The sequence below is a fragment of the Homo sapiens genome, chromosome 3 (assembly GCF_000001405.40).
Source record: "Homo sapiens chromosome 3, GRCh38.p14 Primary Assembly".
In the NCBI taxonomy this organism is placed as follows: Eukaryota; Metazoa; Chordata; class Mammalia; order Primates; family Hominidae; genus Homo; species Homo sapiens.
Window position 1 is genome coordinate 48250016 of NC_000003.12, and position 21643 is coordinate 48271658.

Consider the following 21643-nt stretch of genomic DNA (forward strand, 5'->3'; position numbering starts at 1 on the left):
TACTCAGGAGGCTGAGGCAGGAGAATTACTTGAGCTTGGGAGGTGGAGGTTGCAGTGAGCCGAGATCGAGCCACTGCACTCCAGCCCAGGTGACAGAGCAAGACTCCATTTCAAAAAAAAAAAAAATACAATTTATTATTGTTAACTCTAAGCTTCCTACTTTGCAATAGAATGCCAGAACTTATTCATCCTGTATAATGTGGTTCTGTATCTGTTGACGAATCTCTCTCCTGCTTTCCTCTCCCCTCTCCTCTCCAACCTCTGGTAACTACTATTTTACTCTCTACTTTCTTTTTTTTTTTTTTTTTTTTTAATTAAATAGAGACGGGTCTCACTATGTTGCCCAGGCTGGTCTCAAACTCCTGGACTCAAGCAGTCCTCCCCTCTTGGACTCTCAAAGTGCTGGGATTACATGTGTGATCCATTGCACTTGGCCTACTCTCTGCTTCTTTGAGAACAACTTTTTTTTTTTTTGAGACAGAATCTCCCTCTGTTGCCCACGCTGGAGTACAGTGATACGATCTTGGCTCACTGCAATCTCCGTCTCCTGGGTTCAAGTGATTCTCCTGCTTCAGCCTCCTGAGAAGCTGGGATTACAAGCATGCGACACCACGCCTGGCTAATTTTTGTATTTTTATTAGAGACTTGGTTTCATCGTGTTGGCCAGGCTGGTCTCGAACTCCTGACCTCAGGTGATCCGCCCTCCTCGGCCTCCCGAAGTGCTGGGATTACAGGCGTGAGCCACCACACCTGCCCCGTCTTTTGTCTTATATTTGTTTTGTGAATATTTTGTTCTAGCCTAGAGCCTGCCTATTCGTTTTCTTAACGTCTTTTGATGAGCAAGAGTTTTAAAATTTTGATGATGTTTGTTAAAACTATAAAATGGTTTTTTAAATATGAAATTTTTGTGTTTTTAGTGGAGACGGGGTTTCACCATGTTGGCCAGGCTGGTCTCAAGTTCCTGACCTCAAGGTAACCTCCCACCTCGGCCTCCCAAAGTGCTGGGATTGCAGGTGTGAGCCACCGTGCCCGGCCTAGATCAATTTCTTATGTAGCTAGATTCTCCAAGACCACCAGTTCCATTCTCCCTGTGAATCTTAATGGTGACTTGATGAATATGAATTTATCGGTTGATTTAGGGACCAGTGACTTTTGAGGATGTGGCTGTGCTTTTCATTGAGGCAGAGTGGAAGAGACTGAGCCTTGAGCAGAGGAACCTATACAAAGAAGTGATGCTGGAAAATCTCAGCACGCAACTGTAGTTCCAGCTACTCGGGAGGCTGAGACAGGAGAATCACTTGAACCTGGGAGGCGGAGGTTGCAGTGAGCTGAGATCACACCACTGCACTCTAGCCTGGGTGACAGAGCAAGACTCCATCTCAAAAAAAAAAAAAATTAGCTGGGCGTGGCGATGCGTACCTGTAATCCCAGCTACTTGGGAGGCTGAGGCAGGAGAATCACTTGAACCTGGGAGGCAGAGGTTGCAGTGAGCTGAGATTGCACCAATGTACTCCAGCCTGGGCAACAGAGTGAAACTCCATCTCAAAAAAAAAAAGAAACTGTTTAATTTAAGATCACCTTTAAGTTGCGGTGATTTTTAGTTTTTTTTTGGTGTGGTATGAGATAGGGATTGGCGTTCTTTATTTTTAAATTTGGGCGTTCAGTTCTTCCAACACTGTTTTTTTGAAAAGACTTTCCTTCCTTCATTGAATTCCTTTGATACTTTTGTTAAAAATCAATTGTGGGGCCAGGCACAGTGGCTCATACCTGTAATCCTAGCACTCTGGGAGGTCAAGGCAGGTGGATCGCTTGAGCCCAGGAGTTCGAGACCAGCCTGGGCAACGTGGCGAAACCTCATCTTTACGAAAAGTACAAAAAAATTAGCTGGAGTTACTCACCTGTAGTCCCAGCTATGTGGGAGGCTGAGGTAGGAGGATCTCTTGAGCCTGGGAGGTTGAGGCTGCAGTGAGCCATGTTCACACCACTGCACTCCAGCCTGGGTGATGGAGTGAGACCCTGTCTCAAAAAAAAAGAAAAATCAATTGTGGGTCTGTTTTCTCGGTGCTCTGTTCTGCTCCATTGAACTCTTCTCACATTTGTATTGTGCTCCTCACTAATGTAGTAGCTTTATGGTGAGTCTTAAAATCAGGTAGTGTAAGTCCTTAAATTTTATTATTATTATTATTTTTTTTTTGAGACAGATTCTCGCTCTGTCTCCCAGGCTAAAGTGCAGTGGCATAATCTTGGCTCACTGCAACCTCCACCTCCTGGGTTCAAGCGATTCTCCTGCCTCAGCCTCCCTAGTAGCTGGAACTACAGGCACAGGCTGCCATGCACGGCTAATTTTTTGTATTTTTAGTAGAGATGGGGTTTCACCGTGTTAGCCAGGATGGTCTCGATCTCCTGACCTTGTGATCCACCCGCCTCGGCCTCCCAAAGTGCTGGGATTACAGGCATGAGCCACCATGCCCAGCTGTCTTTTGCATTTTTATATAAATATTGAAATCTATCAATTTGAAATTGAAAGTCTTATCAATTTGTACAATGGGATTTTGATTGAATTGCTTTGAATTTTTATATTAGTTTGGGGGAGAATAATATCTTTTTTTTTTTTTTTTTTTTTTTTGAAACGGAGTCTCGCTGTCGCCCAGGCTGGAGTGCAGTGGCAGGATCTCGGCTCACTGCAGGCTCCGCCCCCTGGGGTTCACGCCATTCTCTTGCCTCAGCCTCCCAAGTAGCTGGGACTACAGGCCACTGCCACCTTGCCCGGCTAATTTTTTATATTTTTAGTGGAGACGGGGTTTCACCATGTTATCCAGGATGGTCTCAATCTCCTGACCTCGTGATCCACACGCCTCCCAGAGTGCTGGGATTACAGGCGTGAGCCACTGCGCCCAGCCATGAGAATAATATCTTAACATTATTGAGTTTTCTGGTCCATCAGCGCAGTATCTCTCCATTTATTTAGACAATTTTTTCCTCATTTATGTAGATCTTTATCTTAATAATCTGGGCGTTTTTTATTTTTATTTTTTGAGACAGAAGATCCCTCTGTTTCCCAGGCTGGAGTGCAGTGGTGCAATCTCAGCTCACTGCAGCCTCTACTTCCTAGGTTCAAGTGATTCTCTTGCCTCAGCCTCCTGAGTAGCTGGGATTACAGGCGTGCACCACTACACATAGCTATTTTTTGTATTTTTAGTAGATGGGCTTTTGCCACGTTGGCCAGGCTGGTCCCAAATTTCTGACCTCAAGTGATCCACCTGCCTTGGCTTCCCAAAGTGCTTGGACTACAGGTGTGGGCCACCATGCCCGGCCATCACCGTTAGTATTAATGAACCAATAATAATGGTGGTTATTAACTAAAGTCCAACTTTATTCAGATTTCTTTAGTTTTAATGACCATTTTCTGTCCCAAAATCCCATCCAGGTTATCATGTTACACTTAGTTGTCACGTCTCCAAGGTAGTACTAGTCATATTTTTCTTTTTTTTTTTTTTTTTTTGAGACGGAGTCTCGCTCTGTCGCCCAGGCTGGAGTGCAGTGGCACCATCTCGGCTCGCTGCAAGCTCTGCCTCCCGGGTCCACGCCATTCTCCTGTCTCAGCCTCCCGAGTAGCTGGGACTACAGGCGGCTGCCACCACGCTAGGCTAATTTTTTTTTGTATTTTTAGTAGAGACGGGGTTTCACCGTGTTAGCCAGGATGGTCTCGATCTCCTGACCTCGTGATCCACCCACCTCGGCCTCCCAAAGTGCTGGGATTACAGGCGTGAGCCACCGTGCCCGGCGCTAGTCAGATATTTTGTAGATTGTCCCTTACTTGGGATTTGTTTGATGTTTTCCTCAAGTGAGAGGATTGCTTGAGCCCAGGAGTTCAAGACTAGTCTGAGCAACACAGCAAGAACCCATCTCTATAAAAAATTAAGAAATTTGCTGGGATTGGTGGCATGTACCTGTATCCTAGCTACTTGGGAGGCTGCCGTGGGAGGATCACTTGAGCTCAGGAGTTTAAGGCTACATTGAGCTATTATTATGCCACTGTACTCCAGCCTGGGTGACAGAGCGAGACCTTATCTCTTAAAAAACAAACAAAACAAGCTGGGCGTGGTGGCTCATGCCTGTAATCCCAGCTACTTGGGAGGCTGAGGCAGGAGAATTGCTTGAACCCAGGAAGTGGAGGTTGCGGTGAGCTGAGATCGTGCCATTGCACTCCAGCCTGGGCAACGAGTGAAACTCTGTCTCAAAAAAAAAACTAAACAAAAAATCAGTCGATGTTTGTGTCGGTCATTTCTGGACTCTATTCTGTTCCACTGATCTACTTGCCTTTGTTTTTGCCCATACCACACTGTCTTGATAAATGTAGCTTTATAATAAGTCTTGGAATTGGGTAATATGAATCCTTCAACTTTATTCTTCAGTATTTTGTTAGCTATTCCAGGTCTTTTGTCTTTCCATGTAAACTCTACAATCAGTTTCTCGATAGGTACAAAATAGCTTGCTGAGTTTTTGACTGGGTTTGCATTGAATCTATACATTGAGATCGGAAGAGCTGATATCATAATACTGAGTCTAACTATCCATGAAGATAGACTGTCTTACCATTTGTTTAGATCATCTTTGATTTCTTTCATCATTGTTTGTAGTTTTTCACATGTAGACTATGTACATGTTTTGTTAGAGTTGAACCTAAGTATTTAATTTTTTTGGTGCTCTGTGTGTATGTGTGTGTGTAAAATTTAAAATTCTAATTGTTCATTGCTGGTATATAGGAAAGCAGTTGACATATAGGAAAGCAGATGATCTTATATCCTGCAACCTTTCTATGTTTGCTTATTAGTTCCAAGGTTTTTTTTTTTTATTTCTTTTTGTAGATTCTCTGGAATTTCCTATGTAGACAGTCATGTCATCTGTGAACAAAGACAGCTTTACTTCTTTTCAAATATGTGTACATTTTCTTTTTCTTGTCTCATTGCAATAGCTAGGACTTTCAGTACAATGTTGAACAGGAGTGGTGAGAGAAGACATCCTTGCCTTGTTTCCAGTTATCTAGGAAAAACATCTAGTTTCTTGCTATAAAGTAGGATATTTGTTGTAGGTTTTTTGTAGATGTTCTTTGTCAATTGAGGAAGTTCTGCTGTATTTCTAGTTTGCTGAGAGCTATTACTTCTTTTTTTTTTTTTTTTAAGACAGTCTCACTCTACCTGTCAGGCTGGAGTGCAGCAGCGCCATCTTGGTGCATTGCAACTTCTGCCTCTTGGGTTCAAGTGATTCTTGTGCCTCAGCCTCCCAAGTAGCTGGGATTACAGGTGTGCGCCACCACGCCCAGCTAATTTTTGTATTTTTAGTGGAGACGGGGTTTCACCATGTTGGCCAGGCTGGTCTCAAGCTCCTGACCTCAAGTGATCTGCCTACCTTGGCCTCCCAAAGTGCTGATATTACAGGCGTGAGCCACCATGCCTGGCCAAGAGTTTTTACTTTTTTTTTTTTTTTTTTTTTTTTTGAGACAAAGTCTCGCTCTTTCTCCAGGCTGGAGTGCAGTAGTGCGATCTTGGCTCACCGCAACCTCCGCCTCCCGGGTTCAAGTGATTCTCCTGCCTCAGCCTCCCGAGTAGCCGGTATTACAGGTGCTACCAACCACGCCTGGCTAGCTTTTGTGTTTTCAGTACAGACATGGTTTTGCCACGTTGGCTGGTCCCGAACTTGTAACCTCAGGTGATCTGCCTGCCTTAGCCCCCCAAAGTGCTGTGATTATAGGCAAGAGCCACCATGCCTGGCCAGAGACGGGGTCTTGCCATGTTGCCCAGGCTGGTCTCAAACTCCTGGGCTCAAGCAATCCTCCTGCCTTGACCTCCCAAACTGTTGGGATTACAGGCACAAGCCACCACGCCTGGCAGCTAAGAATTTTTATAATCACTAGATGTTGGGTTTTGTATTTTCTGTATCAAATGATATGATCATATGATTTTGTTTCTTTAGCCTGTTAACATGGTGGATTACAATGATTGATTTTCTTTTCTTTTTTTTTTCAAGCCCATGAGCCTAGTTTATGACATTCCACTGGGCAAAACTCCTGTCCCCAGCACTGAGTATGGCCCAAGCCCCACAGCAATTGCCAAGGGACCCAACTGCCCTGCCTGCCTCTAGCTCCCAGCATTGCTACTGGGGAGGCCAAGGGTACTGAAGTTCATCCCACTGTCCCCTGTCCATACATGTCAGAGGGGCCAGGCCGTCATGGTGGGGTGGGGCAGGAGTATAGTTGTGGCCCAGGGCTTGTGAGTACGCCTCCTACTCCACAGCGCAGGTGCAGGAGGAACTCTGGAAGCTCTTCTGTCTGTGAGTGATACAGCTTCCAAGGTGTCCTTGAGTAGCAGACATTGTCCCTCAGGAGGGTTGACCCCAAGGCCATGAACGCCCTGTTCCAGGGGAGGCCTTTTTTTGTAGATGGGCATGAGGGTGCGGGGACCCCAGTGGGTCAGGTACTGGTTGAATTGGGGTTTGCCCTTTGGAACAACTCCTTCAGGAAGCTGAGGCCTGTGATTTGGTAACAGACCTGCTCGGTAGGCCATCTTCACACACCCCTCAATCTTGCAGTTCTCTTCCCGTCATAGGCCTGTGATCTTTCGGGGCAGCATGCCTCCATGGGGCTGGATGAACTGGCTAAGCAGCAAAACATCATCATAGTTTTACTTGTGGTTCAGGTTCCAGTGGCAGATGGGGCACTGGCCAGAGGGGTTAGGAGGATTTGGACTCTCCTTGGGAGTCGCTGTGATACGGCCTTCAATTATAGTTGTCTTTCCTTCTTGGATTTCCACCACTTCCCTGAAACCACGAGCTGGAAGCTGAGACCAGCTGGTCACTGCTGGGCCTGCTAGGAGCCCACACGGAAGCTGCCCACAGCCAGACACCAGAGCCTCAAAGGCCGCCATCTTGAAAAACCAACCCTGACCTCCACAATGATTGATTTTCAAATGTTGAACCAGCTTTGCAGAACTATAATAAACCCAAGTGTGGTATGTAATTCTTCTTGGGCATTTCTGGATTTGATTTTCTTATATTTTGGGAGGGGGTATTGTATCTCTGTGAGATATATTGATCTGTAGTTTTAATTTCTAATGTCTTTATCTAGATTTGCTATTAGGATAATGCTGGATTCATAGGATGGGTTAGGAAATGTTCCCTCTGCTTTGTGTTCTGGAAGAGATGGGGGTCTTCTATAGTAAAAAGTTTTTGTTTTTGTTTTTGTTTTGTTTTTTGTTTTTTGTTTTGAGACAGAGTCTTGCTCTGTCTCCCAGGCTGGAGTGCAGTGGCATGATCTTGGCTCACTGCAACCCCTGCCTCCTGGGTTCAAGCGATTCTCCTGCCTCAGCCTCCCGAGTAGCTGGAATTACAGGCGTGTGCCACCACACCCAGCTAATTTTTGCATTTTTAGTAGAGACGGGATTTCACCATGTTGGCCAGACTGGTCTCTAACTCCTGACCTCAGGTGATCTGCCTGCCTCAGCCTCCCAAAGTGCTAGGATTACAGACGTGAGCCACCGAAAAAAGTTTTAATTTTGGTGAAGTCTGGTTTATTATTATTTTTTTTAATGGATTGTGGTTTTGGTGTCATGTCTAAGAACTCTTTGCCAAGCACTAGGTCCCAATATAGATCTTCTCCTGTATTTTTTCTAGTATTTTTATATTTAAATTCGTGATTCATTTTGATTTTTTTTGTTTTTTGTTTTTAATAAAGTGTGAGGTTTTAGGTTGAGGTTAATTTTTTTGTCTGTGAATATCCAGTTGGTCCAGTGCCATTTGTTGCAAAGTCTATTCTTCATTGAATTACTTTTACAAAAATCCACTTTGGGGTATTTGTGTTGATCTCTTTCTGGGTTTTCGGTTCTCTTCTATTGATCTGTGTGTCTATTCTTCCATAGATACCCTGTCTCAAGTATTGTGGTGATCAAATAGTAAGTTTAATATCAGGTAGCGTGATCTCTCTTACTTTGTTCTTCTAGTTTCTTTGCCTTATCATATATATTAGGATAAGTTGTCTATATCTACAAAAAAATCTGGTTGGGATTTTGATGGGAATTGTGTTAAATCTATAGATCATTTTGGGGAAGATTGACATCTTTACTATGTTGAGCCTTCCAACCCATGAACGTGCTTTGCCTCCCCATTTATCTAGATCTTTGATTTTTTTTTCCATTGGCATTTTGTAGTTTTCAGTGTACAGATGTTATAGTTGTTTTGCTGGAGTTATGTTAGGCACCTCTTTTTTGCGGGAGTGATTGTAAATGGTATGTTTTTAATTTCAGTTTCCACATGGTCGTTGTTAATCTATATGAATACGATGGATTTTTATGTGTTCATCTTGTATCTTTCAGTCCTCCTGGACTCACTTATTAGTTATATGATCATTTTTATAGATTCCTTTGCATTTCCTACATAGAAAACCGTGTCCTTGGCAAATAGGGGTAATTTTATCTCTTCCTTACCAGTCTCTGTGCTTTTTACTTCCTCTTCTTGCCTTGTACTGGACAGAATGTTTGATTACTTTTTGAGAACCAAAAATTATTTACTTATTTTAAAAATCAGTTTTCACTTAAATATAAAACATTCTATTGCTTAGTTATAGCAAATTGTAATAGCAAGTGTTTACTGCATGTGAGGCATTGATGTCAGTGCTTTATCTTTATTAAGACAGTAGGTGTCATTATCAAGCCCATTTTATAGATGTGGAAACTAAGACACAGAGAGGTTATGTAAGCTTCCAAAGGTCATGTATTGTATAAGTGGCAAAGCTGGGATTTGGACTTGTGCGGTCTGACTCCATAGATTGGGCTCCTACTACATCCACTGAGCAAAAAGCCTAGCTTCCATTGTAGCTGAGCCTGTTGTTTTATGTTTCAGTGGAAAAACTAGAGGGGGAAGAGGAGTCAAGAGAGAAATGGAGAGGATATTGGAACATGAGAGACACAAGGCTTGAACAAGAGAAATTATGAGACCTGGGGTATAAAAAGAAAAGGGGAAAGATCACTGAGAATATGAGAACCAGGATGTGCCTGAAGCAGCAGGTCATGGAAAGCATGTAAGGGACAGCAGCCCACACCACTGCCCGCTCAGGCCTTGGCTGCCTAATCCTGGGTCCTGGCCTGCTGTCTAGACTTTTTGTCCTCCCTCGTACACTGTGCCACGCGGCCTGACTGCCTGGGCTGCTGGCTATAGATGTGACATCCCTCCCAAAACTTCTCACACACTCAAGGATTTCAGTATCTACACCTAGTTTCCTACTCTTAGCTCAGCATCATTATTATTCTCTACTGCTTCTGCACTTCTGTGCTGGGTTTTATTAAATCTCTTTTATAGTCCAGCTCTCAGGGGAGGATGCTAGGAAGCTCTGGCTTGGTAGCCTTGCACTGTGTTTCCTTCAGCCCCTACTGTCATCTTTGATTTGCTAGAAGCTTAATTAGTTTAGCTTTAGAACCTGGAATATACATTACCAACTCCTAGAGTGCCAAGGACCACTTGGAAGGTGGACAAGAAGATTGATGTATACCTGAGAATAGGAGGAAGAAGCTGAGTCAGAGAAGAGGTACTCAGGGTAATCAGAGGCAGCTGGGAATAATGTGCAACTGTTCCCAAAGTCTGCAGAGTGAAGTTAAAATTCTAAAGCAAGTCCGAGGCCGGCAGATCACTTGAGGTCGGGAATTGGAGACTAGCCTGGCCAACATGGTGAAATCCCATCGCTACTAAAAACAAAATACAAAAAAAATTAGCCAGGTGTGGTGGTATGCACCTGTGGTCCCAGCTACTTGGGAGGCTGAGGCAGGAGAATTGCTTGAACCCGGTAGGCAGGGGCTGCAGTGAGCCAAGATCACGCCACTGCAGTTCGGCCTGGGTGACAGAGTGAGACTCCGTATCAAAAAAAAAAAAAAAAAAATCTAGGGCAAGTTAGGAGTGTCATGGAATACCCATAGGCTGAAGCAGTTGGTCACTGAGCAAATAATGCTTGAATTCAGTAGAAGTTGATTGGTGACTCCCTTGGTATCTGAGGGCAATGCCACCTTTCAAGTGTAACTAAAGATAGAACACCACTGAATACTCATTTAGAAGAGAAGAGACTTGAAGATGAAAAAGCATATGGTGTATGTTTTTTTGAGACAGGGTCTCGCTCTGGTCACCCAGGCTGGAGTGCAATGGTGCGATCTCAGCTCACTGTAGCCCTGACCTCCTGGGATCAGGCAATCCTCCTACCTCAGCCTCCTGGGTAGCTGGAACTACAGGTGCACACCACCATACTTGGCTAATTTTTGTTTATTTTTCATAGAGACAGGGTCTCACTGTGTTGCTCAGGCTAGTCTTGAACTCTTGGGCTCAAGCAATCCTCTCATGTCAGCCTCCCAAGTAGCAGATCCATTTTTTTCTTTTTGAGGCGGAGTCTCACTCTGTCACCCACGCTGGAGTGCAATGGAGTGATCTTGGTTTACTGCCACCTCTGCCTCTCAGGTTCAAGTGATTCTCCTGCCTCAGCCTCCCAAGTAGCTGGGACTACAGGCGTGTGCTACCACGCCCAGCTAATTTTTGTATTTTTAGTGGAGACAGCGTTTCACCATATTGGCCAGTCTGGTCTCGAACTCCTGACCTCAAGATAACCTCCCACCTCGGCCTCCCAAAGTGCTAGGATTGCAGGTGTGAGCCACCGTGCCCGGCCTAGATCAATTTCTTATGTAGCTAGATGCTCCAAGACCACCAGTTCCATTTTCACTGTGAATCTTAATGGTGACTTGATGAATATGAATTTATCGGTTGATTTAGGGACCAGTGACTTTCGAGGATGTGGCTGTGCTTTTCACTGAGGCAGAGTGGAAGAGACTGAGCCTTGAGCAGAGGAACCTATACAAAGAAGTGATGCTGGAAAATCTCAGGAATCTGGTCTCATTGGGTAAGGACATGTTCTCTTCCTTCATTTTTCCATTCAAGTATTTACTGACCATATTCAGTGTGCCAGCCAATGTTTTAATCTCTTAGAACATATCAGTGAATAGAATAATAAAGCATTTCTTCTCTCGTGGAGCTTATATTCTAGTATAGGTAGACTGACAATATACAATAAGCAGCATATATAGGTAAATTATATATGTCAAAGGATAATAAGTGCTACATAGCTAAAAAAAAATGTATAAGATATATATAAATATAAGTAGAGTAGATTAAGGGAGATCTGAAGTGCCGGGTGTGGAGGCAACTGGCTGAACTTTTAAATTGCATGATCAAGGTAGGCCTCTATGAGGAAGTACATTTGAGCAAAGGCTTGAAGGAGGTGAGGAGGTTGGATATGTGGGTCAGGTGGGAAACTGCTCCAGACAAGGGGAAAGCAGTGCCAAGGCCCTGGAGGCAGGAGCATATCTAGTCCTTTGGAGGAAAAGCAAGGAGGCCAAGGTGGTTGGAGTACAGAGAACAAGGAGGAGAATAGTAAGAGATGCCTTCTATGACCTAGAAGTTGGAAATGTTTAACGTTTAAGGTATAAATCTGTCAGTTTGATGTTTTATAGATTACTGGATATCATACATCATGTTTTTATTCACTTATTTAAAAACTAAAACTGATTACTAGGTTAGCAAATACAAAATTATTCTGGATATTCCTGAGTTCTTGATGAGAGTCAGATTTTCAAAGTTCCTCACATTTCTCTCAGCATCTTTCTCAAGGTTTGTCTTCATCTGGCATAGCTATGAATTACATAGTTCTGATTTGTTCTCTTTGCATCTGCTTAGACCTATTTTGCACTGCTTTAATCTAATTTGAATTGGCCTCATTTCAATCCTAGTTGCCTATTTCTGTTTCAGTGTAGGTTCATCCATTTAAGTTAGCTTTCAATTGGCCAATCTGATTTGGTCTTGTTTCATCTGGTCTTGTTACTCTTTATCTTTATGCTCATACATTTTGTTGATTCTGAAGAATATGTTAAAATTGCCTTAAAATAATCTGATTCAAATTAATCTTGACCCTGAAACTTTGGATCTCACTGTATCCATTTCAGGTGTTAAACTGTTTTCATCCTTGATCCATCTTTCCCTTTCTCTCTACATCACTTTTTCTCTTATTGCTGAATTATTTAAAGCAAATCTCAAATATCATGACATACCACTCCTTTATATCACAGTGCAACTCCAATAAATAAGGACATTTTATTTTATTTATTTTTTTTGAGATGGAGTTTCATTCTCATTGCCCAAGCTGGAGTGCAGTGATGCGATCTTGGCTCACTGCAACCTTTACCTTCTGGGTTCAAGTGATTCTCCTGCCTCAGCCTCCCGAGTAGCTGGGATTACAGGCGCGCATCACCACAGCCGGCTAATTTTTTGTATTTTTAGTAGAAACGGGGTTTCACCATGTTAGCCAGTCTGGTCTCGAACTCCTGACCTCAGGTGATCTGCCCGCCTCAGCCTCCCAAAGTGCTGGGATTACAGGTATGAGCCACTGTGCCCGGCTTCACATTTTCTTATATAACCACAGTATCATGATCAGAACTCACAAAGTTATCAGTAGTGCTTCAGTATCATCCAACACCTAGTCCATGTTCAAATTTACCTGATCATCTCAAAAAAGTTTTTTTGCAAATTTGAATCAGGATTCAGATGAGATCCACACATTCCATCTTCTAAAAACTTCTCTTAATTTATATCAATTCCTTCTCTCTCTCCTTCTTTTTTTCTTCCCTGTAGCCCACGGATTTGTTTGTAATGTTCTGACTCTAGAATATAAATCTATTTTAGATAATATCGTAATTTTTGCATGGTAGGTTGTAAATCAAGAGAAAATAGTTTTGAGCTTTACCAAGAGGTGTTCACCAATATGAAAAAAAAATACATCACTCATGGCAGTGCTGGTTGTGGTGTTTGAGTAACCGCTTGCGTAGCACACTTAGGTCTGTCACCACTAGAACACATGTAGTCATCAATAAGGCATATCCATGTGTGTCTGCATTTGTAGCTATCATGTCCACAATGATCTTCCTGTAAGCACTTGATTGCTCTGGTATGTCTCATAATGTAGCCTTGTCAAGAGATTACATATTGAAATGAATATTTTTATTGTAAATTACTTTCTTTTTTTCTTTTTTTTTTTGAGACGGAGTTTTGCTCTTGTTGCCCAGGCTGGAGTGCAATGGTGCAATCTCAGCTCACTGCAACCTCTGCCTCCCTGGTTCAAGTGATTCTCCTGCCTCAGCCTCCTGAGTAGCTGGGATTACAGGCACGTGCCACCACGCCCAGCAAATTTTTTTATTTTTAGTGGAGACAGGATTTCACCATGTTGGTCAGGCTGGTCTCAAACTACTGACCTCAGATGATCCGCCTGCCTCCGCCTCCCAAAGTGTTGGGATTACCGGCGTGAGCCGCCACGCCCGGCTCCTTTCTTTTTTATGTTTCGGATAGGGCATTACATTATTAAAACATTCTGCAGCTGGGTGCGGTGGCTCATGCCTGTAATCCCAGCACTTTGGGAGGCCAAGGCGGGCAGATCATGAGGTCAGGAGTTCAAGACAAGCCTGGCCAACATGGTGTAACTTTGCCTCTACTAAAAATACAAAACAAAAACAAAAACAAAAAAACAGGCCGGCATGGTGATGTGCACCTGTAATCCCAGCTACGCAGGAGGCTGAGGGAGGAGAATCGCTTGAACCCCGGAGGCGGAGGTTGCAGTGAGCTGAAATTGCGCCACTGCACTCCAACCTGGGCAACAGAGCAAGACTCCATCTTGGAGAGAAAAAAAACACAAAACATTATGAGTACATTTAATTAAATATGAATTTTGTTTCAGGACAGTAAGTGAGATGTTACAAAATATAGGTTATAAAAAGGAGGCTTTTGTTCTGACAGTATTAGAGAACATCTTCTGCCTAACCCTCTAGTCCTTTTTTAATTAACTTGGCTCCTATCACTCATTTACTCAAAAGTATGTATTGACTATTAAACACTGGGTCTAGTTCTGCATTCTTAGAATATACCAGTGATATGTATGGGAGAAGGGTTCTGTAGACATAGAAACCAGCCAGTGTACATCATCAGGAGGGGAGGACAGTGTGGCTCAGATGGAGCAAATGAAGGCTGGAGAATAGGTTGAGTCAAAGAAGCAGTAGGTGGAACCCAGTGGGCCCTCTAAGCAGCTTGGCTTTTACTCTGAACATTATGGACTTTCTTTTTTTTAAGTTGAAGGGTCTTGTTTATTAGAAATGTAGAATAAAGAAGGAAGAGGCCGGGCATGGTGGCTCACACTTGTAATCCCAGCACACTGGGAGGCCGAGGCAGGCAGATCATGAGGTCAGGATTTCGAGACCGGCATGACCAACATGGTGAAACCCTGTCCCTACTAAAAATACAAAAGTTAGCTGGGCGAGGTGGCACGTGCCTGTAATCCCAGCTACTCAGGAGTCTGAGGCAGGAGAATCACTTGAACTTGGGAGGCGGAAGTTGCAATGAGGCAAGATCGCACCACTGCACTCCAGCCTGGGTGACAGAGCAAGACTATGTCTAAAAAAAAATAAAAAGGCCGGGCGCGGTGGCTCACACCTGTAATCCTTGCTCTTTGGGAGGCTGAGGCGGGTGGATTGCCTGAGCTCAGGAGTTCGAGACCAGCCTGGGCAACATGGTGAAACCCCGTCACTACTAAAAATACAAAAATTAGCTGGGCATGGTGGCACACGCCTGTAGTCCCAGCTACTTGGGAGGCTGAGGCAAAAGAATTGCTTGAACCTGGGAAGCAGAGGTTGCAGTGAGCCAGGATCACGCCACTGCACTGCAGCCTGGGCAACAGAGACTCTGTCTCAAAAAAATAAATAAATAAAATAAAATAAGAGAAAGAATTGGCTTTAGTCACTCACTCCCATTCCATTCTTCTGTTCCTGCTTCTAGGGCAGAACTCTGTGGTTCCAGGGCTTAGTGTCTTTTGGATGGATGGGGGTCCAGTTGGCTTTAATATTTAAATTTTTTTGAGACAGAGTCTTGTTCTGTCACCCAGGCTGGAGTGCGATGGTGTGATCCCTGCTCACTGCAACCTCCGCCTCCTGGGTTCAAGTGATTGTCCTGCCTCAGCCTCCCGAGTAGCTGGGATTACAGGCACCCGCCACCATGCCCTGCTAATTTTTGTATCTTTAGTAGAGATGAGGTTTCGCCATATTTGCCAGGCTGGTCTTGAACTCCTGACCTCATGTGATCCACCCACCTTGGCCTCCCAAAGTGCTGGGATTACAGGCATGAGCCACTGTGCCCGGCCTTTTTTTTTTTTTTTTTTTTTTTTTTTTTTGGAGACAGAGTTTCACTCTTGTGGCCCAGGCTGGAGTGCAATGATGGGATCTCGGCTCACTGCAACCTCCACCTCCTGGAATTGAAGCAATTCTCCTGCCTCAGCCTCCTGAGTAGCTGGGATTACAGGCCGGCGCCACCATGACCGATTAATTTTTGTATTTTTAGTAGAGACGGGGTTTCACTATGTTGGCCAGGCTGGTTTCGAACTCCTGATCTCAGGTGATCCCACCCTCATTGTTCTCCCAAAGTGCTGGGATTACAAGTGTGAGTCACTGTGCTGGCCAGAAGAATTTTAACCAAATGTGTAGACCCATGGATTCATTCCATCCTATGCAGAGTCCTGGTCTTCCATATTTAATTAGCACAAATGCCATAAAACTGCCTTCCTACTATTTAGTAGTTCTCCCTGTGAACTATTCACTAAAGTTTCTTTACTATTCATTCCCTTGCCTGACGATTAAATAAACTCAAAATTTTTATTTATTTATTCACTTGTATTAAGTTCTGATGGTCTTTATTACCTGAATTTGGATTCTAAGCTCTATTATTATTATTATTATCCTTAATAATAATAATAGACCCCATAATAAATATCACTCACTATGGGCCCAGCATTGCGCTTTGTGCTCTGTAGGGCTTTACATAAAGACCAAATGTAATGCTGGTATTATTTCATAGATCGGGAAATTGAAGTTTAGAAGGATTAGTAACTTTGTGTCCACAGTCATAAAGTAAGAAAAGACAAGACAGGGTTCAGGATGCCAAAATATGTGTTCCTAAATACTCTAAATACACCACAAATAACTCTGAACTTTTTAAAGGTCTATGTTCTATAAATAATGAGATCCTTGCTACTTTGACTAGGCCTTTGAAGAAAAGAAGCCAGTGAGAATTAAGCCCCCTGACATAGATGCAATACCTCTTGGGAAAGCTAACCACCTTTGGCCTTTGAACTACATCTAGGGCCAGGAGTGTTCCAGGCTTTGACTACTCTAGGCTTGCAAAGCTGCCATCCAGACATCCTGATCATCAGATTCCCAGACACCCAGCCCAACTGCTCCAACTCTCTCAGGACAGGAAGAGGGATGAGGACTAGCTAAGCTATGCTGCTCCAGAGGAGCTACTGAAACCAGGACCCCCATCCATCCAGAAGAAATGAAGCCCTGGAATCATAGAGTGCTGCCCTAGAATCAGGAATCGAAGAATGTGGTGGTGGGAGTGGGTGACTAAAGCCAAATAGGGCCGGGCGCCGTGGCTCACGCCTGTAATCCCAGCACTTTGGGAGGCCAACCAAGGCGGGCAGATTGCCTGAGCTCAGGACTTCAAGACTAGCCTGGGCAACATGGTGAACGCCGTCACAAAAAAGTTCCTGTTGTTTCCCATGATTAGATTCAGATTATACACTGCACTCCATTTTTACTTATTACATATTTTACTTTAATCCAAAAAAACCCACAGCCGAATCTATTCTATATATTATCGCAACAGAGAATCTTCCAAGTAGGCATCCAGACATCCTCAGTGTTGTAAATATCTACAATTATACTAAAATTATCCTCTACCATAATCACATAATGCCATAAGCATTTGTTTCCACTGAGAGAACAGTCTTTATGACCTATACGGGAATGCTCTTTGTGACTTTTCCTTTGAGAAGAAAGGATGGATTGAGATAGGAGTCACTTAGTCTCGATGTCCCCCAATGTAGAATGCAGTACAGAATAGTATTGAAGAATGTGCATAGGAAGCCTTCATTTGAGTTTCCCCACTCATAAGTAGATATTTACTAGAGGAAGATTACATGCCAAGTTCTACCAGAAGTGAGGATTCATCAGTGGAGAAGACAGGCACAACTGACTTAAAGAAGGCTGGCTCTTGGTCCTCCAATCCAAGACCTGCTCTTCCCTGTTTTCCACAAGTCGGCAAATACAGTAATGTTACCATTTAGCTGCACTTTCCTAAGAAATATCAAAATTAAATTGCAACTGTTTCTAACCAGCTGAAGATAACAAACAACCATGAACTTTTTGTAATCCAGGAGGCCAGACCCTTTATCAGCCTAACTGAAGACCCTTGCCTAACTAATAAATAGAAGAATTTTTTTTTTTTTTTGAGACGGAGTCTCACTCTGTCGCCAGGCTGGAGTACAGTGGCATGATCTTGGCTCACTGCAACCTCTGCCTCCCGGGTTCAAGTGATTCTCCTGTCTCAGCCTCCCGAGTAGCTGGGACTACAGGCGCCCGTCACTCCACCCAGCTAATTTTTGTATTTTTAGTAGAGACAGGGTTTCACCATGTTGGGCAGTATGGTCTCAATCTCTTGACCTCGTGATCTGCCCGCCTCCGCCTCCCAAAGTGCTGGGATTACAGGCGTGAGCCACTGTGCCCAGCCCTTTGTATTATTCATATTCTTGCAACTTTTCTGTATATTTGAAATGATTTCCAAATCAAAAGTTTGAAGAGGTTGAATGAAAATATAGGTCCTGCACAGCACATCTTGGGGAGAAAGACTTTAATCATTGAGAATGATTAATGGGCCAGGTCTTATCATAAAACAAGAGCCCAGTCAGCCCTTCCTATGACTCTTCTGACTGGAAACTTTCTTTCTTCAGCAGAATCAAAGCCAGAAGTCCATACCTGCCCTTCTTGCCCTCTGGCCTTTGGCAGTCAGCAGTTCCTCAGCCAAGATGAGCTACACAATCATCCTATTCCAGGTTTCCATGCAGGAAATCAACTCCACCCAGGAAATCCCTGCCCAGAGGATCAGCCACAGTCACAACATCCTTCTGATAAAAATCACAGGGGGGCTGAAGCAGAAGATCAACGAGTGGAAGGAGGCGTCAGACCCTTGTTTTGGAGTACAAATGAAAGGGGGGCTTTAGTGGGTTTCTCTAGCCTGTTCCAGAGACCACCAATAAGCTCTTGGGGAGGCAACAGAATATTAGAGATACAGCTCAGTCCAGCCCAGAATGCAAGCTCTGAGGAAGTAGACAGAATTTCCAAGAGGGCAGAAACCCCAGGGTTTGGAGCAGTCACGTTTGGGGAGTGTGCACTAGCTTTTAACCAGAAGTCAAACCTGTTCAGACAGAAGGCAGTCACAGCAGAAAAATCTTCAGACAAAAGGCAGTCACAGGTGTGCAGGGAGTGTGGGCGAGGCTTTAGCAGGAAGTCACAGCTCATCATACACCAGAGGACACACACAGGAGAAAAGCCTTATGTCTGCGGAGAGTGTGGGCGAGGCTTTATAGTTGAGTCAGTCCTCCGCAACCACCTGAGTACACACTCCGGGGAGAAACCTTATGTGTGCAGCCATTGTGGGCGAGGCTTTAGCTGCAAGCCATACCTCATCAGACATCAGAGGACACACACAAGGGAGAAATCGTTTATGTGCACAGTGTGTGGGCGAGGCTTTCGTGAAAAGTCAGAGCTCATTAAGCACCAGAGAATTCACACGGGGGATAAGCCTTATGTGTGCAGAGATTGAGGCCGAGGCTTTGTAAGGAGATCATGTCTCAACACACACCAGAGGATACATTCAGATGAGAAGCCTTTTGTTTGCAGAGAGTGTGGGCGAGGCTTTCGTGCTAAATCAACTCTCCTCCTACACCAGTGGACACATTCAGAGGTGAAACCTCACGTGTGTGAGGAGTGTGGGCATGGATTTAGCCAGAAGTCGTCGCTCAAATCACATCGGAGAACACACTCAGGGGAGAAGCCTTATGTGTGTGGGGAATGTGGGCGGGGATTTAGCCGGAGGATAGTCCTCAATGGACACTGGAGGACACACACGGGAGAGAAGCCTTACACGTGCTTTGAGTGTGGGCGAAACTTTAGCCTCAAGTCCGCTCTTAGTGTACATCAGAGGATACACTCTGGGGAGAAGCCTTATGCATGCACGGAGTGTGGGCAAGGCTTTATCACGAAATCACAGCTCATCAGACACCAGAGGACACACACAGGAGAAAAGCCTTATGTCTGCGGAGAGTGTGGGCGAGGCTTTATAGCTCAGTCAACCCTCCACTACCACCGGAGTACACACTCCAAGGAAAAACCTTATGTGTGCAGCCAGTGTGGGCGAGGCTTTTGTGATAAATCAACTCTCCTCGCACACGAGCAGACACATTCAGGGGAGAAGCCTTATGTGTGTGGGGAATGTGGGCGGGGATTTGGCCGGAAGATACTCCTCAACAGACACTGGAGGACACACACAGGAGAGAAACCTTACGCATGCATCGAGTGTGGGCGAAACTTTAGCCACAAGTCCACTCTCAGCTTACATCAGAGGATACACTCGGGGGAGAAGCCTTATGCATGCGTGGAGTGTGGGCAAAGCTTTAGGAGAAAGTCACAGCTCATCATACACCAGAAGATACACTCGGGGAAAAGCTTTAGAGGTGCAAGGAGTGAGGATGTGATTTTAGCAACAAGTCAGCCATCAGCCACACCAGCGGAAATGCTTAGGGAGAAGCCTTGTTTGTAAGGTAATGTGGACAGAGCTGTACGTGGACATCATTACTTGTCACGTGTCAGAGGACACACTCGGGAGAAACCTTCATGGAGTGAGAGTAAGGTGTTGGCTGGAAGTGGCCCCTTAAGAGATACTTGGAGTCAAATCTATCCACTGTACGCCCACCCCACTCTTGTTCTAAGAGCTTTGGGGACAGTCTTTTGACCCCTTACATTCCTTTAGATGTGAAGATGACAGAGATCTAACTTCTGAGAGCAGAGGTGTCAAGTGACGGTCCCCTTGGAGGAATGGTCTTTGCATCTGACTACTTCCTTCTGCAACTGTGTTCTTCCATTAGCTTCCATGACACTCTCCTGCTTTATTTTTTTCTACATCTCTAGCCTTTGCTGTTTCCTCTCCTACCCCACCTTTAGATTTTACTCAGAGTTCAGTCTCCAGCCCTACAATCTGAGGGACACCTTTACCAGGTCCCCTTCCTAACCCTCCAGTCCCAAATCCAAGATTCTTTAACCACACTCTAAAAGTTCTTCAGACTCAGGACTTAAACATAGCCACGCCACCTTGGCCTTCAATGACAGGGATCTAGCAATGCTGCATCATCAGCCTTCCAATACCAGGTTTAAGGGTATTTTAAACACAGCTCCTCTTAAATCCTCCAATCTCAGTACCCAGTGTTTTAGCCATGCTCGGGTGGCTAAATTACATCCAGGAATGGTGCCAGGGCCTTTAGCCATTTGTCTCTCCTCACACTCCAGGGCCCATATGGCCCAGGTTCTGACAGTTTGCCTTACTCCCTTGGGCTGGGGCTAGCCCTACCTGATACCCTGTGTCAATGAGTGTACCTTGGAGAGCTATCCACTCAGGCCCCAGTGCCTCTATTTGCTAAGGGACTCTGCCACAGAAAAGAAGGGGAGAGATGTTCATGTAACCTCAAAATACTTAGGCTTGGTTTTGATGCTAGAGAGGAAAAAGGACTTGGAGAGAGAGAAGGAATGGCTGGTCCAGAGGCTTTTGTCCACTCCCTCTCACTGGAAGTGGTTGATCTCCAGGGAATCCCCAAGGTTAGCCTGCTTAGGGGAAGGGCTAGGGGTACCTGGAATGTAGGATCTCCCCCATGCCTGGCCTACCACCCTAATGTGTCTGGAATTGGTGGGTTCTTGGTCTTGCTGACTTCAAGAATGAAGCCGTGGACCCTCACGGTGAGTGTTACAATTCTTAAACATGGTGTGTCTGGAGTTTGTTCCTTCTGATGTTCGGACGTGTCCAGAGTTTCTAACTTCTGGTGGGTTTGTGGTCTCGCTTAGGAGTGAAGCTGCAGACCTTAGCAGTGTTACGGCTCTTAAAGGCAGCGCATCTGGAGTTGTTAGTTCCTTCCGGTGGGTTCGTGGTCTTGCTGGTTTCAGGAGTGAAGCTGCGGACCTTTGCGGTTAGTGTTACAGCTCTTAAAGGCGGCGCGGACCCAAAGAGTGACCAGCAGGAAGATTTATTGTGAAGAGTGAAAAAACAAAGCTTCCACAGCATGGAAGGGGACCTGAGTGGCTTGCCGCTGCTGGCTCGGGTAGCCTGCTTTTATCCCCTTATCCGGCCCCACCCACATCCTGCTGATTGGTCCATTTTACAGAGAGCATATTGGTCCGTTTTGACAGGGTGCTGATTGGTGCATTTACAATCCCTGAGCTAGACACAGAGTGCTGATTGGTGCATTTACAAGCCTCTAGCTAGACAAAAATTTTCCAAGTCCCCACTAGATTAGCTAGACACGCGTTTACAAACCTTTAGCTAGACACAGTGCTGATTGGTGCGTTTACAATCCTTTAGCTAGACACAAGTTCTCCAAGTCCCCGCTAGATTAGCTAGACACAGAGCACTGATTGGTGCGTTTACAAAC

General features: G+C 44.7%; 1 protein-coding gene and 1 pseudogene across 1 annotated transcript in view, besides 1 other annotated feature; one reads left to right on the forward strand and one right to left on the reverse strand.

Annotated features, from left to right (window-relative positions):
* The window catches only part of ZNF589 (zinc finger protein 589), a 29887-nt gene extending 8912 nt beyond the window's left edge, over positions 1–20975 (forward strand). The window contains exons 3-4 of the mRNA NM_016089.3: positions 10798–10924; positions 17900–20975. Of these exons, the coding sequence (NP_057173.2) occupies positions 10798–10924; positions 17900–18771 (999 nt within the window). The 3' untranslated portion in view covers positions 18772–20975. The remainder of the gene's footprint in view (positions 1–10797; positions 10925–17899) is intronic.
* On the reverse strand, positions 6025–6946 carry MRPS18AP1 (mitochondrial ribosomal protein S18A pseudogene 1; annotated as a pseudogene).
* Positions 6285–6855: an enhancer, noted in NCBI's record as "H3K27ac-H3K4me1 hESC enhancer chr3:48297790-48298360 (GRCh37/hg19 assembly coordinates)". NCBI's record gives its function as "activates a minimal SCP1, AML or CMV promoter by ChIP-STARR-seq in primed H9 embryonic stem cells {active_cell/tissue: H9 hESC(primed)}" and the evidence as "EXISTENCE:reporter gene assay evidence [ECO:0000049][PMID:30033119]".
* Positions 20976–21643: the final 668 nt, after the last annotated feature.